This window comes from Homo sapiens, chromosome 9 (genome assembly GCF_000001405.40).
Source record: "Homo sapiens chromosome 9, GRCh38.p14 Primary Assembly".
In the NCBI taxonomy this organism is placed as follows: domain Eukaryota; kingdom Metazoa; phylum Chordata; class Mammalia; order Primates; family Hominidae; genus Homo; species Homo sapiens.
The window spans coordinates 128,220,553-128,242,556 of record NC_000009.12 but is presented as its reverse complement, the minus strand read 5'-3'; the positions used below and the strand labels follow the sequence as shown (position 1 = coordinate 128,242,556).

At 52.2% G+C, this 22,004-nt stretch overlaps 1 protein-coding gene across 6 annotated transcripts in view, besides 2 other annotated features; it reads right to left on the bottom strand.

Annotated features, from left to right (window-relative positions):
• Nucleotides 1–22,004, bottom strand: part of DNM1 (dynamin 1) — a 51,866-nt gene that overhangs the window by 12,688 nt on the left and 17,174 nt on the right. For 3 of the 6 annotated variants that reach the window (NM_001005336.3, NM_001374269.1, NM_004408.4), the window contains exons 7-15: nucleotides 20,218–20,360; nucleotides 19,961–20,096; nucleotides 19,697–19,764; nucleotides 18,168–18,306; nucleotides 8,450–8,536; nucleotides 3,042–3,112; nucleotides 2,778–2,829; nucleotides 2,561–2,572; nucleotides 212–325 (exon numbers count right to left, since the gene is read on the bottom strand). In NM_001005336.3, coding sequence (NP_001005336.1) covers nucleotides 212–325; nucleotides 2,561–2,572; nucleotides 2,778–2,829; nucleotides 3,042–3,112; nucleotides 8,450–8,536; nucleotides 18,168–18,306; nucleotides 19,697–19,764; nucleotides 19,961–20,096; nucleotides 20,218–20,360 — 822 coding nt within the window. Of the gene's footprint in view, nucleotides 1–211; nucleotides 326–2,560; nucleotides 2,573–2,777; nucleotides 2,830–3,041; nucleotides 3,113–8,449; nucleotides 8,537–16,383; nucleotides 16,523–18,167; nucleotides 18,307–19,696; nucleotides 19,765–19,960; nucleotides 20,097–20,217; nucleotides 20,361–22,004 lie in introns of all 6 variants that reach the window. The other 3 variants (NM_001288738.2, NM_001288737.2, NM_001288739.2) reach the window with 1 other exon arrangement.
• Nucleotides 9,182–9,681: an enhancer, noted in NCBI's record as "H3K4me1 hESC enhancer chr9:130995155-130995654 (GRCh37/hg19 assembly coordinates)". NCBI's record gives its function as "activates a minimal SCP1, AML or CMV promoter by ChIP-STARR-seq in naive H9 embryonic stem cells {active_cell/tissue: H9 hESC(naive)}" and the evidence as "EXISTENCE:reporter gene assay evidence [ECO:0000049][PMID:30033119]".
• Nucleotides 11,626–11,874: a silencer, noted in NCBI's record as "fragment chr9:130992962-130993210 (GRCh37/hg19 assembly coordinates)". NCBI's record gives its function as "represses an EF-1alpha promoter that drives an FKBP-Casp9 reporter gene in an ReSE screen in HepG2 liver carcinoma cells {active_cell/tissue: HepG2}" and the evidence as "EXISTENCE:reporter gene assay evidence [ECO:0000049][PMID:32094911]".

Below are 22,004 nucleotides of genomic sequence, written 5' to 3'. Positions count from 1 at the left end.
GACTCCTGACCGCAGGTGATCCACCTGCCTCGGCCTCCCAAAGTGCTGGGATTATAGGTGTGAGCCACCACACCCAGCCTGCCCACGGATCTTTGACGAGACATTTTAAAACCCTATTCCATGGTCTAGCCCACTCCAAGCCCATGGGAGGGTCTGAGCCTGACTCTGTCCACCAGCCCAGCCCCTTGATGACCACTGGCCCTTGACTCACCTCATCATCCTTGTACCAGGACAGATTCTCAGCAGTCAGCACAAACCAGTACTCCTTGGAGCCCCCTTTCATGATGCCAATATTATTGATAGTCAGCCAGCCCTTGCGGATGACCTGGAGGGTGATGGGGCAGGAGGTCAGTGGACAGGGCCTGAGCCTCCCCATGGGGGATGGGGTAGGCAAAGAGAGGCATTCGAAACCCCACCCCTCTCCCAGCTCTCTGAGGCCTGGCAGTCAGGGAGGGTGGGGGCCAGACCTGCCTTGGTTTGAACCACAAGTGAACAGAGTGGAAGACAGAGGAAGGCAGAGATCAGCTCAGGATAAAGAGCCTTTGACAGGCAGACCTGGCCGAGTTAAGGGACTGGAGGCCTGGGTAGGGGATGAGCTCCCTGTCACTAAAAGTATGCAAGCAGAGTTTATGGGGCCGATTGGGGAAGCCAACTGCGAGTCTTGGAAGCTTAAGGTCTCATCTGTTCTGAGATGTGTTTCTGACTTTACACATGCTGCTGCCGCCTCTGCCTAGAAAGCACTTTTTCCTTTTTGCCTGGCAAATTCCTACTCAGCCTTTGAGTATCAGCTCAGGATTCACATTCTCAGGCAGCCCCTTCCTGTCCCCCAGTATAAATCAGGATTCCCATAATGATCTTTGATCACTCCCTGAAGTCGACTTCTGTAACAAGGGCTTCGATTTTTAATTAACTTCTCTACGTGCGTGTGTGTGATTATCTGTCGATGCAGCCTCCCCTGCTAAATCATGAACTGTTGGTCACTAGTACATCCCAGCACCTTGCAGAGGGCCTGGCAGATAGTAAGTGATCAATACATATTTGTAGTATGAATAAATAAAAGCTATGATAGTACGGTTCTAAGGGTCTTTGGCTCCAGGTCCCCAGGGGCAAGGGCTGAGCCACAAAGTGCCTAGAGTAACAAGCTAAGGTCCCTTTTCATGGCAGGAAGCAGCTGTCCCCAGGACTGTCCAGAGCCATGGCCACGGTCCAGGGCCTGTGGATTCTACTTCAGGGGTAGGGTCACTGGCCAGGTACTGGTCATGGGTCAGATCGAGAGGATGAGGCAGCTGCTTCTGCTCCCTCCTGGACGCTGACCTCCCCAGCTTCTTCTCTGAGCATCCAGAGAAGACCCAAGGAGGCCTGGGGCTGGCGGCAAAGCCCTCTGGGGCCAGGCTTGCTTCTGGAGCCCTCCTTATGCCTCTCTGGTTCCCTGAGAACCTCGCTGAGAACCCAAGCTGCACAGCCCAGCAGCAGTTGAGCTGAGGGGAGAACACCAGCTGCCTCTCTCACCCCTTCCTGATCAGGCGAGGATCCCCACAGGGTCTTGTCACTGTCTTTGGAATTGAGTCCACTGTGTCCCACGATGTGACCAGCAGATCTTGCCACCTGCTCCCCACCCTAACTTGTAGTCTTTGTCCTCCCCCTTGGCCACACCCAGCCCTGAACTCCTCTCTGCTCATCCTAAGCCCTCTCTGCAGCCCTGCACCAGGGACCTCCTGCTCTCCCAACTCCCACCCTGCATGGAGCTCTCAGGGGCCTTAGCTGGGCCCTACCAGCAGGCCCAGGTCTCCACGTCCTGTCCAGGGGCCAGCACCGTGTAGGCACCAGCTAGTGTTGGCTGAATTGAATTGTCCTGATACTACATTCATTCCTCCCTTCATTCTGTTGAGCACCTACTGCGTGCCAGGCTAGGGGCTTGAGCTGAGGATTTAATGATAAACGGGACAGACTCAGCCCTCCCCTTATGGGGCCTGGGAAGGAAATAGACATTAAGCCAATAATCACATAAACACCTAGAGTCTTACAAAGAAACTACGGCCTCTGGAACCTATGGAAAGAAAAGCTGAGGACCCTCGGGCTCATGTGTACAACTGAGCAAGCGCTTCTGACGAGGGATGTTTCCGCAGACATCTAAGGACAGAGAGCAGGAGGCCAGGTGAGCAGTGACTTCTTGACTTCTCTTGACTTCTCATTCGTCTCTTCATTCAAGTCCGGAGGCGATGGCTGTCAGCTTCTTAAAAATGTGTCTTGCTCACGTGCATCCCTCCATCCAGCAGATGTTTAAGGAGCACCTACTCCGTGCCAGGCCCAGCCTTCTCACCCACCCAGCCCCACACGGTCTAGCTCTGCCTGAAGTAGGTGCTTGGCTCGTGCACACAGATGGACGGGTGGATGCGGCTGGGCCTGCCTCTGGCCTGAGGGCAGGTGTGAAATGCCAGGGGCTGGTGTGTACAAGCAGCTTCAGCCAAAGGGTGCCCTCCTACCCGTTGCAGATCCCCACTGCCGATGGACCCTCCGCCCCCTCACTACACAAGCCGAGAGCCCCAGTCCTGGTACTCACCAGAATCTCATCCTGCAAAGAGGTAACCATAGCAACCACGAGAGGCATCGGGGAGAGAGGAGAGAGGGTTACTGAGGCAGAGTGGGAGGCTTGTGGCTGGCAGCTGACAGGTCCCTGGCCCCCGTGGGACCCTTCCCCTCAGGGGAGGGGGCTCTCAGAGTCTGGTGTCCGTCCGGCACCCTCCATCCCTCGGGCTGGGGTGCTGGGCCCCACTCACCTGGTTCCCTGAAGTCTTCTTCTTGTTCATCTGGTTGCTCCTCTGCTGAGCACTAATGGGAGGGAGGGGAGGAGTCTCAGAACTTCTCAAGAGGCCCAGCTCTACTGCCCACTGCTTAGTGGGCACAGGACCCAGAGGGTTAACCTAGCAGACCTGGGCTCTACACACACACACACACACACACACACACACACACACACACACACACACACGTTACCTTCTCTGCCCAGGGAGCACTCACTTTTTGCCTGGGGGAGCACTCACTTGGCAAAGCCTATGAAGTCCTCATGGTTGGTGTTCATGTAAGCCAGCTCGATATCGATGAGAAGCATGACCTTCAAGGATACATAGGTTGGTGGGCAAGCGCAAAAGACACCACAAAGTTTTAAAATGCAGGGCAAGCTGGGAGAAAAGTACTTGCAGCACATATAGGAGGTTAGTATCCATAATAAATATAGTCCCTACCATCAGTGAAAGACAAAAGCTGAGCGTGGTGGCTCACACCTGTGATCCCAGCACTTTGGGAGGTGGAAGTGGGAGGATTGCTTGAGCCTAGGAGTTCAAGAGCAGCCTGGGCAACATAGGGAGACCTGTCTCTACCAAAAAATACAAAAGGTAGCTAGGCATGGTGGCATGTGCCTGTAGTCCCAGCTACTTGGGAGGCTGAGGAGGGAGGATTGATTGAGCCCAGGAAGTTGAGGCTGCAGTGAGCCAAGATTGCACCACTGCATTCCAGCCTAGAAGACAGAGCAAAACCCTGAGAGAAAAGAAGAGAGGAGAGGAGAGGAGAGGAGAGGATGAAAGAAAGAAAGAAAATCACAAATTGGCCAGGTGCGGTGGCTCACGCCTGTAATCCCAGCACTTTGGGAGGCCGAGGTGGGTGGATCACAAGGTCAGGAGATCGAGACCATCCTGCCTAACACGGTGAAACCCCGTCTCTACTAAAAATACAAAAAATTAGCCGGGCGTGGTGGCGGGCTCCTGTAGTCCCAGCTACTTGGGAGGCTGAGGCAGGAGAATGGTGTGAGCCCAGGAGGCGGAGCTTGCAGTGAGCTGAGATGGCACCACTGCACTCCAGCCTGGATGACAGAGTGAGACTCCACCTCAAAAGAAAAAAAAAAAAAAAGAAAATCACAAATCAAAATAGTCAAGAACATGATGAATAATTCATAGAAGAAATGCATACATCCACTAAGGATGTGTAAAAAATCCTTACTCTCATTAATAAAGAAATGTAAGTTAAAAATGAGGCTTTTAGCCAGGCGCAGTGGCTCATGCCTGTAATCCCAGCACTTTGGGAGGCCGAAGTGGGCGGATCACCTGAGGTCAGGAGTTCGAGACCAGCCTGACCAACATGGAGAAATCCCGTCTCTACTAAAAATACAAAATTAGATGGGCATGGTGGCACATGCCTGTAATCCCAGCTACTTGGGAGGCTGAGGCAGGGGAATCACTTGAACTCAGGAGGTGGAGATTGCAGTGAGCCGAGATTGTGCCATTGCACTCCAGCCTGGGCAACAAGAGCGAAACTCTGTCACAAACAAACAAACAAACAAACAAACAAACAAACAGAGGCTTTTTAAATGATCAGCATGACACAAGTGTTGGGAAATGAGCTCTCTCATATATTGTTGATGGAAGTGTAAATCAGTATCACCTTCTCTGAGGGCAATTTGGCAATATTTAACAACATTAAAATGCACAGGGCAGGGAATGGTGGCTCATGCCTGTAATCCCAGCATTTTGGAAGGCCGAGGCAGGAGGATTGCTTGAACCTAGGAATTCAAAACCAACCTGGGAAACATGGAGAAACCCTGTCTCTACAAAAAATAGAAAAATTAGCCAGGTGTAGTGGTGTACGCCTGTGGTCCCAGCTACTTGGGAAGCTAAGATGGGAGGATCGCTTGAGCCCAGGGATGCAGAGGTTGCAGTGAGCCATAATGGCACCACTGCACTCCAGCCTGGGCGTCAGAGCGAGACCCTATCTCAAAACAAACAAACAAACAAACAATGCACATATTCACTTCCAGAATTGTATCTCACAGATACACTCATCAAGTGAGCAAAGATACATGAGCCAGAGTATTCAAAGTAGTACAGTTTGTAATAGAGAAAAATTGGGAGCAAGCCAGTGGCCATCTGAGGGTGAAATAGATTATGACACTCTCTAGACAAGAAAGCACCCTGCAGCTGTTCAAAAGAACAAGGACAGGCCGGGCGGGGTGGCTCACGCCTGTAATCCCAGCACTTTGGGAGGCCGAGGCAGGTAGATCGCTTGAGGTCACAAGTTCACAAGTTCGAGATCAGCCTGGCCAACATGGTGAAACCCTGTCTCTACAAAAATACAAAAATTAGCCGGGCATGGTGGCATGCACCTGTGGTCCCAGCTACTTGGGAGGCTGAGGCAGGAGAATGGCTTGAACCCGGGAGGCAGAGGTTGCAGAGAGCCGAGATTGAGCCACTGCACTCCAGCCTGGGCAACTGAGAGAGACTCCGTCTCAAAAAAAAAAAAAGAACAAGGATAATGTCCAGGTTCCGGCCTGGGAAGACCCTTGCAAACGATTAAATGTGAACATATTTGGAATTCAGTAGTGATGAGAATGACTTTCCAGATGGGACAAAGACTTCCAGGTTCAGACCCAAGCCCCACTGCTTCCTGTGAGCTTGGGGTCTGTCCTCACTTAGCCTCAAAGTCCACAAATGTAGCGTTTCTGCCTCTTAGAACTGGTGAAGACACAGGAGATGAGATACTCAACAGATGTTAGATATTACAATTATCTTCAGAGGAAAAAGGCAAGGCACACAGCAGGCTTGTGGTTTAGGATAAAGATGGAATCTGGATTGTGTGTGTTTGTGTGTGAGTGCACACGCATAAGAAAATGCCTGCAAGGTGACACACTAAACTGGTTTGCTTTTTGGGGTATTACTGAGGCAGAGTCTCACTGTGTTGCCCATGCTGGAATGCAGTGGCATGATCATGGGTCACTGCAGCCTCCACTTCCTGGGCTCAGGCGACCCTCCCACCTCAGCCTCCCATGTAGCTAGGAATTCAGGTGCATGCCGCCTCACCTAGCTAGTTTTTTAAATTTTTTGTAGAGACGGGGTCTTGCCATGTTGCCCTGGCTGGTCTCAAACTCCTGGGCTCATATAATCCTCCCACCTAGGCCTCCCAAAGTGCTGGGGTTACAGGTATAAGCCACTGTGTGGAGCCCCAAACTGTTAGTAATGGTTATTTTTCAGGAAGAACTAGGGGTGGGGAAGAGTGAATGGAGGGCTATCTCCTTGTAATTTAACCACTTCGATACTGATTGAATGTTTTATTGAGTATTTATGATGTTTGTAATTAAAAAGCAATCAATAAGGATTTAAAAATATGACATCAACAACAAAAACATGAATGAATGGAGATGGCAGCATCATGGAGAGATGTGTGAAAACAGGAAATGGGAAATGGGAGCCAGAGGGGGCTACAACAGACATGTAGGGGCATGGCAGACAGGGATCAGAAAGGAGGACTAGCCTCCGAGCTCCGTGAGGGCCACGATGGGCCCTGCTCACCTCTGCTCCGTGCAGCTCAGAGGTAGCGTTCAGTGGCTATGTTTGTGATTGAAGGAAGAAATGAATGAATATTTGATGAACGATGACATAAAAGGTGGGGGTGGCTATGAGGGGTATAATGTGACCCAGAGAAACAGCAAATAGACAAAGAGAGGCCCAAAGAGAGGACCACAAGGATAGACTGCCAGAAAGTGAAGAAAGCCTGACCAGCCTGGGCACGGTGGCTCATGCTCGTAATCTCAGCATTTTGGGAGGCTGAGGCAGATCGCTTGAGCCCAGAAGTTTGAGACCATCCTGGGCACCATAGTGAGACCCCCGTCTCTACAAAAAAATTTTAAAATTAGCCAGGCGTAGTGGCATGTACCTGTAGCCCCAGCTACTCGGGAGGCTAAAGTCGGAGGATCGCTTGAGCCTGGGAGGTCGAGTCTTCAGTGAACCATGATCATGCTACTGCACTCCTGCCTAGCAGGGGCGACAGAGCAGGACTCTGTCTCCAAAAAAAATAAGCATAGAACCAGCCTATGGCCCAGCATTTCCACTTTTAGGTATATACTCAAAAGGGTAGAAAGTGGGGACTCAGATAGGGATTTGTACACTCATCTTCAAAGCAGTGTGATTCACAATGGCCAAAAGGTAGGAAAAACCCACATGAATAAACAAAGTGTGGTCCATCCATACAATGGAATATTATTCAAGCCTTAAAAAGGAAGCAGCTTTTTTTTTTTTTTGAGACGGAGTCTCACTCTGTTGCCCAGGCTGGAGTGCAATGGCATGATCTCAGCTCACTGCAATCTCTGCCTCCCGGGTTCAAGTGGTTCTCCTGCCTCAGCTTCCTGAATAGCTGGGATTACAGGCGCCCACCACCAAGTCCGGCTAAATTTTGTATTTTTAGTAGAGACGGGGTTTCACCATGTTGGCCAGGCTGGTCTCAAACTCCTGACCTCGTGATCCGCCCACCTTGGCCTCCCAAAGTGCTTGGATTACAGGCATGAGCCACCACGCCCGGCCAGGAAGCAGCTTTTGACACATGCTACAATACGGATGGTCCTGGAAGACATTATGCTAAGTGACAGATACTGTATGACTCCACTTACGTGAGGTCCCTAGAAAAGTCAAATTCATAGAGACAGGCCAGGCACGGTGGCTCACACCTGTAATCCCAGTACTTTGGGAGGCCGAGGCGGGTGGATCACTTGAGATCAGGAGTTTGAGAACAGCCTGTTCAACATGGTGAAATCCCATCTCTACCAAAAATATAAAAAATTAGCCGGGTGTGTGGTGCGTGCCTGTAATTCCAGCTACTCGGGAAGCTGAGGCAGGAGAATCGCTTGAACTCCGGAAGCGGAGGTTGCAGTGAACCGATTTCATGCCACTGTACTCCAGCCTGGGCAACAGTGAGGCTCCGTCTTAAAACAAACAAACAACAAATTCATAGAGACAGAAACATGAATGGTGGCTGCCAGCTGCCGGGAGCTGGGGGAGCAGGGAATGGGATGTTAGTGTTTCATGGGGACAGTTTCCGTTTTGCAAGATGAAAAGAGTTCTGTGGGCCAGGCGCGGTGGCTCACGCCTGTAATCCCAGCACTTTGGGAGGCTGAGGTGGGCAGATCACTTGAGGTCAGGAGTTTGAGACCAGCCTGGCCAACGTGGTGAAACCCTGTCTGTACTAAAAATACAAAAATTACCCGGGCATGGTGGCGCACGCCACCTCCCAGTAGCCTCCCAGCTACTCGGGAGGCTGAGGCAAGAGAATCACTTGAACCCAAGAGGCGGAGGTTGCAGTGAGCTGAGAGATCACACCACTGCACTCCAGCCTGGACGATAGAGCAAGACTCTGTCTCAAAAAAACAGTTCTGTGGATGGATGTTGCTGTGCAACAGCGCAAATGTACTTAGTGCCACTGAACTGTGCGCTTAAACATGGCTAAAGTGGTATGTTATGTGTATTTTACTGCAATAAAAAAGAGAGAGAAGCAGAGAGTCAGTATGAGACAGAGGAAGACTGAGACAGAAGAGACAAAACAAGAAGGAAGCAACCCCAGGGCCAGGAGTGGAAGGCGCAGGCGGCCAGGAGTGGAAGGAAGGCGCGGCCAGGCCGGGTGCTGCGGGGCTCACCTGCTCCTTAGTGCGGCCCTCGCGCTCCCGGATGTGGGTGGTCACGATGCGCTCCATCTCCTCCCGTAGCCGCGGGTACTGCTGGAGCTGGGGAAGGGCAGGAGGGCAGAAAGCCACGTACACAGAGGGCACGGGCAGGGAGCACCCACACCCCACGAGTCCAGGGATCCGCGGCGCAGGGTGGGAGGCACACACAGAATGCCCACAACGCGGGGAAGAGAGACCTAGGGTCCCAGGACGCTGATGGCACCAAGCCACGGCCACCCCTTTCCCCCAAGTGTGGGTTCCAAATGGTGATTCAAGGGTCTTCCTGGTTCCGGGCCCTCTTCACTGGCCTACCTGGGCAACTTCAGGGCAGAGGGGTGGTTCCCGTGGGAGAAAGGCCATGGGAATGAGCCTGCCCCGCAGACTGGTTAGGTTAAGGCCTCTGGGGACCGTTAGCTCCCAAGGTGTTCCCTCATACTCAGGGCTACCCTGTGCCTTCCTAAAGGCGTGGAGGGACAGCTAGATGGGGAATCAGGCAGGGGACAGCCTCTGGATTCCTATCCAGGAGGAATCGGGGGAGGACAGGGCCCAAGGTGCCAGTTGGCCTCCTGAGTCAGGCTGGGACAGGCAATGCTCCTTGTCAGAGCTGGGGAGGGGGTTCAGGGGAAAACCAGCAGTCACACCAGAGGACATGCAGGAAACACAAGCAAAAGCATGCGAGGGCTGGGGGACATGCAAGGCGGGGGCCAGCAGCATGAGCAGTACCCCGCGGGGCCTGGCTGGGCCCTGGCCCTCTTGGTGGAATCCATTCAGCTCTGTCTCCCTTGCATGCCCCTGCCCGGCACCACCATCCCCAGCCACATCTGCCCGGCTCTGGCCAGCCACACTGTCTCGACCCCACTCCTTTGGGGTAGGAGCTCAGCAGCACCTCTTTCCCCCCAGTTCTTATGAAGGGAGGCTGAAGGGGAAGTTGCTCCAAACCCGTCCCCCTCTGCCTGCGAATCGTGCCCTCAGCTCAGTCGGGCTCTGGGCACAGCCCAGGTGATTCACTTGACTACAAGGTTCTGCCGGACTTCAGCTCCTCCAGAAAGCCTGCCCCGACTGCTTGAGAGCTGAGTTAGGGGCCTCTCTCCACTCCTCTCCCACTCCACCTCCTCCAATCAACTGGGTGGCAACTGTCCCCGAGGCAGGGCTGGGGCAGGGCCAGGCCCATGGCCAGTGCTGGAAGAGGGCGTGTTGGAGAATGAGGGAATGAATGAAGGATGGATGCCAGGGTGAGTGGCACAGGGTCCTCAGCCCTCTGGCCCATGATCAGCTCTTCCGGGGAGGAGACTCAGTGCATTTCTGATGGTGGGAGCCCACCCCCAGGGGCTCCAGTCCTGTGGGCCCACCCTCTCCACGCGGTGGCCACCTGGGGCCCAGGCAGCACGATGGGGCAAAGCTGGGAGCGCTCCTCGTCCTTCTTCCCGTGGCTGGGTCAGGCCCTTCAGGTGGGTCCCCCAGTGGAGGAAGAGGCCCAGGGATTGGTGTGCCTGAGTCACAGGTGGTGATTCTGAGGGCAGGATGGAGGCCAAGGAGTTTTGAGGAGGGGCATGGGAGAGGCAGGAGGATGGGGAGAAAGCAGGGCCCTGGATATCGGTCCAGGATGCCAACACGAGGGATGCCCGCATCACACCCATCATCCCGTGGCTGTGCCAAGGGCGTGGATGATGTGGCTAAGCTCAGGAGACCTGAGGGAGGGGCAGTCTGAGACCAGGGGCTTAAAAACGGTGACTAGAGGGGCCCTGTGAACCCCACTGCTCCTGAGGCTCAAGGAAGGGCTCCCGCTCTTTGCAGTCTCCAAGTCTGGGCAGACATTTGGGACTGGGTCACAGCCACCAGGCCTCCTCTGAGGTGGTCCCAAGTGCTCCCTCCCAGGGTAGAGTTTGGAGGAGCAGGGAGAAGGAGGGAGGAGGAGGGCGCAATTTGCCAAAGAGCATGACCAATTCTCCCACTAACCGCCTGGATGTCACATGTCTCAAGTTTTCCACGTGTCACCCATGGCAGGGCAGCCTCCACCCCTTTGAGAAGTTCTGTCCCCTTTGAGCATCTTTTTCCATTCTGGCTGCCTCTGAACATTTCCAGGATGTTCCGCCAGCTTTTCAAAAGGAACGTTCCCCTCTCAGCCCTTGGCTGAGGGGGCGATCAGCCTGGAGCCCACCGGGTTAGCAGTCAGGGACACAGCCCCTGGAGCCATTCAGCCCTGGGTTCAAAGCCAGCCGCTGTCCGCTGACTCTCCTTAGAAAAATGACCAGACCTCTCTGGGCCTCAGTTTCTCCATGTGGAAAATGGGGTAGTAATGACACCTTCCCTCCTAGAGTTGTTGAGAGAACTGAGCAGCACATCCCATGCCCAACATTAAACTCTTCATTTCACTCAGAGATGGCAAGTCTAATCCCAGCAGGGCTGGCAGTAATGAGAGTTCACTTATTAACACTCATTAAACTTCTGGCAGGAGTGACTTGATAACCTTAGAAAACTCGAGGGGAGGAAAAAATATATACACAAAGATAGGCAAAGGTGAGTTTTGCCTATAAGGAAAAAAATAATTATGATCCACTAAACCAATCAAAAGGCAAAAGTGGCCGGTTGCGGTGGCTTGCACCTGTAATCCCAGTACATTGGGAGGCCGAGGTGGGCAGATCACCTGAGGTCGGGAGTTCGAGACCAGCCTGACCAACATGGAGAAACCCCGTCTCTATTAAAAATACAAAAGTAGCCGGGCGTGGTGGCACATGCCTGTAATCCCAGCTACTCGGAGGCTGAGGCAGGAGAATCACTTGGACCCAGGAGGTGGAGGTTGCAGTAAGCTGAGATCGTGCCGTTGCACTCTAGCCTGGGCAACAAGAGCGAAATTCTGTCTCCAAAAAAAAAAAAAAAAAAAAAAAAGGCAAAAGTATCAGTTTCCTCCTTTTAGACCAAAGCTTTCCTTTCCAAATATTTGTTGATCAGTTTTTTCTGCTCATAAAAATCACACAGACGGCAGGGCATGGTGGCGCATGCCTGTAATCCCAGCACTTTGGGAGGTCGAGGCAGGCAGATCACTTGAGGTCAGGAGTTTGAGACCAGCCTGGCTAACATGGTGAAATCCCATCTCTACCAAAAATACAAAAATTAGCTGGGTGTGGTGGCACATGCCTTTAATCACAGCTACTCAGGAGGCTGAGGCATAAGAATCGTTTGAATCCAGGAGGCAGAGGTTGCAGTGAGCCGAGATCGTGCCACTGCACTCCAGCCTGGGTGACAGAGCAAGACTTTGTCTCAAAAAAAAGAAAAAGAAATCACACAGACTCACTGTAAAAGATTAGAGCATGACTAAAATTTATGAAGTGGGCTGGGCACGGTGGCTCATGCTTGTAATCCCAGCACTTTGGGAGGCCAAGGCGGGTGGATCACCTGAGGTCAGGAGTTCGAGACTAGCGTGGCCAACATGGTAAAACCTCGTCTCTACTAAAAATACAAAAAATTAGCTGGGTGTGATGGCGGGCACCTGTAATCCCAGTTACTTGGGAGGCTGAGGCAGAAGAATTGCTTGAACCTGGATGGCGGAGGTTGCAGTGAGCCGAGATTGCGCCATTGCACTCCAGCCTGGGCAACAAGAGCGAAACTCCATCTCAAAAAAAAAAATAGTAATAATAAAAATAAATAAAGAAATAAATAAATAAATAAAATTTGTGAAGAGAAAATAAAAAGATTCCTATGGTGAATACGCCTTTGAGATTTTATCATTCACATATATTATTTTTTCTCCAAAATACCATACGTTCTTTTCTGAAACCTGCTTTTTTTTTTTCCCAACAATATGCTGTGGAGGGACAAGTGAATCCCATCTTTTTTTTTAATTTTTAATTTTCTTTTTTTTTTTTTGAGACGGAGTCTCGATCTGTCACCCAGGCTGGAGTGCAATGGCTCAATCTTGGCTAACTGCAACCTCCGCCTCCTGGGTTCAAGCAATTCTCTGCTTCAGCCTCCCGAGTAGCTGGGATTACAAGCACCCGCCACCACACCCAGCTAATTTTTGTGTTTTTAGTAGAGACAGAGTTTCACCATGTTGGCCAGGCTGGTCTTGAACTCCTGACCTCGTGATCCACTCGCCTCAGCCTCCCAAAGTGCTGGGATTACAGGTGTGAGCCACCACGCCTGGCCACCCACCCTCCCTTTTTTTTCCTTTGAGACGGAGTCTCGCTCTGTCACCCAGGCTGGAGTGCAGTGGCGTGATCTTGGCTCACTGCAACCTCTGCCTTCCAGGTTCAAGTGATTCTCCTGCCTCAGCCTCCCGAGTGGCTGAGATTACAGGTGCCCACCACCACACCCGGCTAATTTTTCTATTTTTAGTAGAGACGGGTTTCACTATTTGGCGAGACTGGTCTCAAACTCCTGATCTCAGGTGATCCACCTGCCTCGGCCTCCCAAAGTACTGGACTGGGATTACAGGCATGAGCCACTGCACCTGGCCAAGCTTTTTTTTTTTTTTTTTTTTTTTGATAAGGTTTTGCTCTGTCTTCCAGTCTGGAATATGGTGGTGTGATCACAATCAGAGCTCACTGCAGCCTCGACCTTCCAGGCTCAAGCAGTCCTCCCACATCAGCCACCTAAGTAGCTGGGACTACAGGCGTGTGCCATCATGCCCAGCTAATCTTTTTATTTTTTGTAGAGACAGGGTCTTACTATGTTGCCCAGGCTGGTCTCTAACTTCTTTTTTATTTATTTTAGAGACAGGGTCTCTAAAATAACCCAGGAGTGCAGTGGTGCAACTGAACTCCTTGGTTCAAGCCATCCTTCTGCCTCAGCCTCCCAAGTAGCAAGGACTGCAGGTGCATACTGCCACGCCTGGCTAATTAAAAAAAAAAATTTTGTAGAGACAGGGTTTTGCTATGTTGCCCAGGCTGGTATTAAACTTCTGGCCTCAAGCAATCCTCCCGCTTCAGCTTCCCAAAGTTCTGGGATTACAGGTGTGAGCCCAGCCTATATAAACATTTTAATGGGTGCATAATATTCTATTGAATAGATTTATCACAGTTTACTTAACCATTTTCCTATTGGTGAATATTTAGATAGTCTCCAGTTTTTCTTTTTCTTTTTCTTTCTTTCTTTTTTTTTTGAGATGGAGTCTGGCTCTGTCGCCCAGGCTGGAGTGCAGTGGTGTGATCTTGGTTCACTGCAACCTCCACCTCCCAGGTTCAAGCGATTCTCCTCCCTCAGCCTCCTGAGTAGCTGGGACTACAGGCACGTGCCACCATGCCCGTCTAATTTTTGCATTTTTAGTAGAGACAGGGTTTCACCATATTGGTCAGGCTGGTCTTGAACTCCTGACCTTGTGATCCACCCACCTCAGCCTTCCAAAGTTCTGGGATCACAGGCGTGAGCCACTGCGCCTGGCCAGATAGTTTCCAGTTTTTCAATATTCTAAATAACCTGACAATGAATATCTCTGTGGATAGTTTTGCTTTTCTTTCTCTGCGATTGTTTCCTTAGGATAGATTCCTAGAAGATTGATTACTAGATATAAACATTTAAAAACCATGAAACACTTTGACTCTCATTCCAAAAGGAAAGCAGTGATTATGGTAAAATTTGGAAACAACCCAAATGTCCATCAAGAAGCCACTGTTGCCAGATGGTGGCTCATGCCTATAAACCCAGCATTTTGGGAGGCTGAAGCAGGAGGACTGCTTGAGGCCTGGAGTTCAAGAGCAGCCTGGGCAACATAGTAAGATCCTGTCTTAACAAAAAAATTATTAGGCCAGGAGGGGTGGCTCATGCCTGTAATCCCAGCACTTTGGGAGGCTGAGGTGGGAGGATCACTTGAGGTCAGGGGTTCAAGACCAGCCTGGCCAACATTATGAAACCCCATCTCTACTGAAAATAAGAAAAATTAGCTGGGTGTGGTGGGAGGAGCCTGTAATCCCAGCTACTCGGGAGGCTGAGGCAGGAGAATCGCTTGAACCTGAGAGGTGGAGGTTGCAGTGAGCCGAGATGGCACCACTGCACTCCAGCCTGGGCAACAAGCGTGAAACTCTGTCTCAAAAAAAACCAAAAACAAACAAACAAACAAACAAAAATATTAGCTGGGTGGGGTGTGGTGGTTAGTGCTTGAAGTCCCACTACTTGGGAGGCTGAGGCGGGAGGATCGCTTGAGCCCAGTTTGAGCCTACAGTGAGCTATGATTGTGCCACTGCACTCCATGCTGGGAGATACAGCAAAACCCCGTCTCTAAAAAAGAAAGAAAAAACAATGGGATAAATACTACAAATACATCTATAAGGATGTTCATTGTAACATCGTTTGTGAAGGCAAAAAAAAAAATTGAAACTTAAATGTCCGTCAAGAGGACATTGAACATATAAATCATGCCACATTTCTACAGTGGAATACAACTCAGTAGTTAAAGAGCATGAGACTGGCTGAGCGTGGTGGCTCACACCTGTAATCCCAGCACTTTGAGAGGCCAAGGTGGGCAGATCACCTGAGGTCAGGAGTTCAAGACCAGCCTGGCTAACATGGTGAAACCCCGTCTCTACTAAAAATACAAAAATTAGCCAGGCATGGTGGTGCTCACCTGTAGTCCCAGCCACTTGGGAGGCTGAGGTGGAAGTACCACTTGAACCCAGGAAGTGGAGGTTGCAGTGAGCTGAGATCGTGCCACTGCACTCCAGCCTAGGCAACAGAGTGAGACTGTCTCAAAAAAAAAAAAAAAAAAAAAAAAAAGGCATGAGACCAATCTTTATGTAGCAACATACAAGGATTACACAACACACTGCTCAGTAAAAAAGAATGCGCGGTGGCTCATGTTTGTAATCCTAGCACTTTGGGAGGCCGAGGCAGGTGGATCACCTCCGGTCAGGGGTTCAAGACCAGCCTGGCCAACGTGGCAAAACCCCATCTCTACTAAAAATACAAAAATTAGCCAGGTGTGGTGGTACATGCTAGTAATCCCAGCCACCCGGGAGGCTGAGGCAGGAGAATACTTGAACCCAGGAGGCAGAGGTTGCAGTGAGCCAAGATGGTGCCACTGCACTCCAGCCTGGGCGACAGAGCAAGATTCCATCTCAAAAAAAAAAAAAAAAAAAAAAAGGAATGGAGATGATTGATGCTTATTTGAAACTCAATGCTAAGGTGGATGTGCCTCCACCCACCAGCATAGGGAAGTCCTTCAGATATAGGTGAGGCTGGGCTCACCCCTGGCACCTCTGATTTAGCCTGCTGGAGAAGCTCCTGCAGGCAACTGATTCTCTCGCACTCCCCTGGGAAGAACTGCTTTAGACAACCTGGCTAAAAATCCTCAAAATGCCCAAAAGCAGACAAATAGGAAAAAGGCATCTAAAAAGTCACAGACAACTCAAAAGAGACCGCCCCTGTCTCTCACGCACGGATTACTGTAAAGTGAGTAATCCAATATGCTTTCAGGCAAATTGGTTTTGAGGAACTAGGACAGCTCCCCCTGCCCAGGAGGCCCTGACCTCAGACCCCTTCCTCTGTCCTTCCTAAAACTGAATCACACTCTGCTTCTCTTTTCTGAGACTCTGTTTTGCCATCTGCAAAATGGGAATAACAACACTACCCACGTCTTAGGGTGGTTGAGAGGACTGAGTCAGATAGTAAGGGCAAGCACTTAGCGTGTGCTTGGCACATAGTAGGTGCTCAGTAAACAGCTGCCATCTCCTTAACATCATCTTCATCACTAGCATAGGTGCCACCAAGGAGGCTTGGGTTGGAGTCAAGTCTTCTGGGATGGGGGCCTGGAGGGGTCATGAGTGCAAGTACCCAGGGTTAGAAACTGGCAGGAAACACTAGGGCTGGGTCCCTGCGGGTAGCCGTGAGGCCGGCTCAGCAGATCCTTCTGCCCACGGGAGGCTGTGGCCACAAGGAATGGACGGCCAGGCCCAGCCCCGCCCAGGCGGCCGTCATACCTTTTCGCTACACTTTCTGATGGTGGCTGTGAGCTCACTGACTACCATATCCACACACTTGATACTGGGCTCTTTGAGCTTCTGCACCTGCTTTTTCACTGTGGCTTCAAAAGCGAGGTCAGGTGTGAAGAGGCCCGTCCTGCACCCGGGGAGGAGGTGGGGACAGGAGGAGGAGCAGCCGTGGGTGGGGAGGAGAAGTGGGTGAAAGCCAAGCAGAGACAGGAATCCAGGGGTGGAGAGGATGGCACGGGCACGGGGGAAGAGAGAGAGACATCGACACAGATAAAGAGAGAGAGAGAACAGAAGACAATGTGAGCGTGGGACCGGCCCTCCCTTGCCACCCGGGGTTGGCACCTCCCAGGTGCTGCCAAGCATCCCCTGGGCTCCATAGGTATGGCCAGAGGTACGAGGGACCAAGCCCCTGCTCCGTACAAGACCCCTATTGAGTTCAGATCCTCTTCCCAGGGATGCTCCCCTGCTCCTCGGCCTCACTGAGGCTGCCTGCTCTCTCCCAGTGCCGTCTTTGTCCACAGCCTTGGGTTCTCCTAAGGAGCTGACCCAGGCCAGGACAAGGCCAGGACCTCATCCACCCATCCTGTTCAATTCTACGTTTCCCAGTGTCCCAGAATTTGCTTCATCCTGACTCCAAACCTCAGTACCATTCCCTATCTCTAGGGTTGCCGCATCCAGCTGCCCAGGCCATGCACTGCACAACTCCAGGGGGGTCCATTCCCGTAAACCGTGGCGCAGAGGCTGCCTCCTAGGGTTGCAGTATAGCAGCCTGACCTCCCTCTCCAGCTCCCTGCTCTAGTCCCGCCCCTCCCTTTCTCTTCAAGGGGCATTCCTGGCCTCTCCTCCACAGGGGTTTGGTGGAACCAAAAGACAGAAAGAGAAGAGGAAAGACAGAAAGAGTAGAGGTAGTGATAGAGAGGGGCCGGGACAGCAGTGGGGAGAGGAAAGGAAGGGAGGCTGGAGGGTGGAATCGAGGAGCACTGGACTTGGAGTCCAGAGCCGTGGCTTCAAGTAACAGCTCTGCCACCTCCTGACTACTGTGACTTGGGCAAGCCACTTGATCTCCTGGAGCTTCAGTGTTCGTGCTGTGAAATGGGCACCGTCCTCCCTGTCCTGCCTCCCTGCGTGCTTCTGTGAGGCTTGGATGGTGGGGCAGATGGGAGAAGGGCTCTATCCCTGGAAAGCCAGATGTGGATGGAAGGGAGGGAGAGGCCCTGAGTGAGGGTCTTACGTGAGCATCCTGTGTGAGGGTCCTGAGTGAGGGTGAGATGAGTATGGGGAGGATGAAGGACAGCGGGGAGCCAGGGCACCTGCTAGTCCTGGGTCCTCTGCACCCCCTCTGGCCACCCAGGCCCACCGAGCAGTGCCCGAGAAGGCCCTGCATTTCACCTGTCTCCAAGGCTAAGGTTTCCCCAGACCCCTCCCTGGAGCTCCCAAAGATGACACCTCCGAGGACAGGGAGGGGGCTCAGGGTCCCCTCAAGCCCTATTCTCTGAGCTGGGGGAGCTCTTGGTGGGCTCTTGGGGTAAACAGCCAGCCATCATCCCCGTCTCACCCATGTCCAATCCCTGGGTCCCCAGACCTGGGGGCCAGGGGTGGGTGAGGCCCTCTCAGAGGCACATTGTCTCCTATTCAGTGGTGGCCTGCCTCCCCACCCCGCTGAGGTCTGTACATGCTACCGAGGAGGCAGGGGGGGACATGGGGAAGGAGCGCCTGGCAGCAGTGCAGGGCGGGGCAGAGGCGGTGGGGGCTGGCCCGGGCCTCCGGGTTACCTTCTTGGTGCACTGTCTAACGGTGCTGATTAGCTCCGAGATAACCATGTCCACACACTTGAGACACGGTTCTCGGATCTTCTTCACCTGCTTTTTCACAATGGTCTCAAAGGCCATGTCTGGGGTAAACAGCCCCGTTCTGAACGCCCGGAGCGGGAGAAGGGCAGAGTGTCACAGGCCAGTGCCGGCCAGGAGGGCCAGGCCGAGGCTCCTCCCCAAGCCCACGAACTCTGCCTGAGGGGCCCTTCCACTACCCCTCTCTGGGCCTCAGTGTCCCCAGTTGTAAAATGGGAGGGAGGGGTTCTAATGAAGGGTTTTTTGTTGTTGTTGTTATTTTTTTTGAGACGGAGTCTTGCTCTGTCGCCCAGGCTGGAGTGCAGTGGCGCAATCTTGGCTCACTGCAACCTCCGCCTCCCGGGTTCACGCCATTCTCCTGCCTCAGCCTCCCAAGTAGCTGGGACTACAGGCGCCTGCCACCACGCCCGGCTAATTTTTTCGTATTTTTAGTAGAGACAGGGTTTCACCGTGTTAGCCAGGATGGTCTCGATCTCCTGACCTCATGATCCGCCTGCCTCGGCCTTCCAAAGTGCTGGGATTACAGGCGTGAGCCACCGCGCCCGGCCCTAATGAGGCTCTTTGGGGCAAGACAAGGTGGTTGAGTATCTGATATGTAAGTCCTGCTTCCTCGTAAGGGTCTGTGCATATAGGAAGTTCTATGGCCAGAAATGGCTTGAAAATTGCCAAACGTGGTTCTCCATAAGAGCCTTTCCAGGAATAGAGTGTTTTGTTTTAAGACTAGGAAAGAGATCTTTTTTCTGTGAATTGGCCAGTGCAGTTATCAGGAAGTAAATTCCATGCCAAATCTTGGAAATGAACCTGCATGAGAGCAAGGGGACACTGGGTCTTGTTCACTGCTTGGCATAGGGTAGGTGCTTTAAATTTTCCGGCCCAGTGGATTTGTTGGATGAACACAGCATAGATCTGGGTCCCTGAAGGGGATCTAAGCTTTTAAGGAACAGATTCCACCTCCCAATCCTGTTTCCTACTCCACGGGTTGCCTAGAAGGAGGGCGGTGGGGTGGAATGGGACTGACTCTGGGCTACTGTGAATACAGGAGGGTGTGGAGGATTGCAAAGTCCCCGGCCGTCATAAAAGGACACAGCCTCATACTTAGATGCTCCACCCCAGGCCCTCGTAGTGGTTTGGACATCTTTGTCCGGTTACCTGGGTGGCACTGGGGGAGCTATCTCACCCTGGGGATGGGCCCAGCCCCAGAGGGTGTTTCCCCGGCCACCTGCGCCCTGGGCTGTGCCCAGTTGGCCCAGCAAGTTGCAGTAGGCGGGGTGGCCCGGGTCCACCTCCCCAAGCTGGAGCCTGTCATGCAGGGAGCCAGAAAGTTGGGGTCGAGAGGACTGGGGAACAGAGCTTTCAGTCCTTCCTGAGGGAGGCCCACTTCATCACTCCCTGTGCCTCTGTCCCAGACCCCCTACTTCTGGGGTTCAGCCACCCTCCCAGGCCCCAATACGTGCCTAATGCCATGGATATTCTTGATAGCATAGCTGATCTCCCTTCGGAGTTCCTTCTCATCAAACTCCATCTGTGTAGAAAAGCAGAGAAAAGCCTGGTCAGGGCCTGTCCTACTACCTGGGAGGTCAAGACAGGGCCCACCCCACACCTAGGGCTGGGCATCAGGGCCTGTGGGGTGGGGGCCAGCAAAAACACACGCAGAGAGAGTCCTGAGTGAGGGTGGGGGGAGTCCTGAGCCATCCTGTCCCCAGGGCTGCCTGACCTACCTTGACCAGCTCGAAAGGGAAGCGCTCGTGGAAGATTCGGTTAATGCGGGCTCCCCCTGACAGTTCGTAGGTGTCGATCTGATCTCCTGAGCCCTCAATGCGCTTCTCAAAGTCTACGGCGAACTGCTGGACCATCCTGGTGGGAGAGTGGTGTGGCCTGAGGGGGCAGGAGCAGCCCAGCAAAGGGAACCCTGGGAGAGCCCCACGCTGAGAGGCTGGGGGCGGGGATTCAGTGATAGGAGCTGGGGGAGCCTCACTGCAGCAGGGCCTTGGTCTTGCGAGCTGGGTCATCAGGGCGGAAGTTCTTGTATTCCTCCACCTCCTTCTCAATGGACAGTAGCTGGCTCTGCAGCTTGTTCCGCAGCCCCGGCAGTGTGTCCCGGATGTGGTTCGTCAGTTGCTGGGGGTAAGGGTGAGGAAAGGGTTGAGGACAGATGGTCACAGGGCCAGGAAGGGACTTGGATGCCAGGGGACTGTGTGAACGTGGTGAGGTGGAGAGCTATGGAGGGCAGCCCTGCCACTGCTGCCCGGGCCACTAGCAAGAAAACTGGTTCATAGAAGGAGCTTGCAGAGATGTATTAGTTGAATTAATGAGTGCATAATTTTCAATAAAGCCAGAAATCTGGATTTGTATTTGGAATTTCCTGATTTTTGGCCAATTTAATCTTTTTATTTTTATTTATTATTATTATTTTTTTGAGACGGAGTTTCACTCGTCACCCAGGCTGGAGTGCAATGGCGTGATCTCAGCTCACTGCAACCTGCGATCTCTGCCTCCCAGTTTCAAGCAATTCTCCTGCCTCAGCCTCCCAAGTAACTGGGACTACAGGCGTGCACCACCATGCCCAGCTAATTTTTTGTATTTTTAGTACAGGTTTTCGCCTTGTTGGCCAGGCTGGTGTCGAACTTTTGGCCTCAAGTGATCCACCCGCCTCAGCCTCCCAAAGTGGTGGGATTACAGGCATGAACCACCATACCATCCCAATTTAATATTTTTAGACGTGCGTCTGAGGCAGGGGTGGCCAGAGGGCTGCCCCTTGGACCCTCTGGGTTTAAAGCCTCCTTTAAGGTCATTCTCAAGTTCTAGCACTCATGCTCACTAGGTGCCCCCACACAGTATCTCCCTGAACCTTTACAACAATCCTATGAAACAGGTCTGATCACCATTGTCTCCATTTTACAGATGCAGAAATAGAGGCTCAGAGGCCAGGCACGATTATGGCTCATGCCTGTTATCCCAGCACTTTGGGAGGCCAAGGCGGGCAGATCACCTGATGTCAGGAGTACGAGACCAGCCTGGCTAACATGGTGAAACCCCGTCTCTACTAAAAATACAAAAATTAGCCAGGCGTGGTGGTGTGTGCCTGTAATCCCAGCTACCTGGGAGGCTGAGGTAGGAGAATCCCTTGAATCCAGGAGGCAGAGGTTGCAGTGAGCTGAGATCGCACCATTGCACTCCAGCCTGGGTGACAAGAGCAAAACTCCATCTAAGAGAGAAAGAAAGAAAGAGAGAAAGAGAGAAAGAGAGAAAGAAAGAGAGAAAGAGAGAAAGAAAGAGAGAAAGAAAGAAAGAGAAAGAAAGGAAGGAAGGAAGGAAGGAAGGGAAAGAAAGAAAGAAAGAGAAAGAAAGAAAGAAGAAAGGAAAGAAAGAAAGAAAAGAAAAGAAAGAAAGAAAGAAAGAAAGAAAGAAAGAAAGAAAGAAAGAAAGAAAACAAATAAAGAAAAAAGAAATAGAGGCTCAGAGAGCCAGAGAGAGTGTCTCAGAGGGGGAGTGACAAAACTGGGATTGGAAACCAGGTCTTGCCTACACAGACAGACAGTCAGACAGACACACACACACACACACACACACACGCGCGCGCGCGCGCACTTCAGTTCTGGATGCCCCATTCCAGATGGAGAAAAGTCCTGGGGAAGCCCCTGGGATTCCCTGTCAAGGTCTTCAGCCGAGTATACTTGAATCCTGGCCCCCAAACCCAAGCTCTTCCCCATGACACCCTCCACATAGGTCTTGGCCTTCTCTGTGTTGGGGACTTCCAGGGCT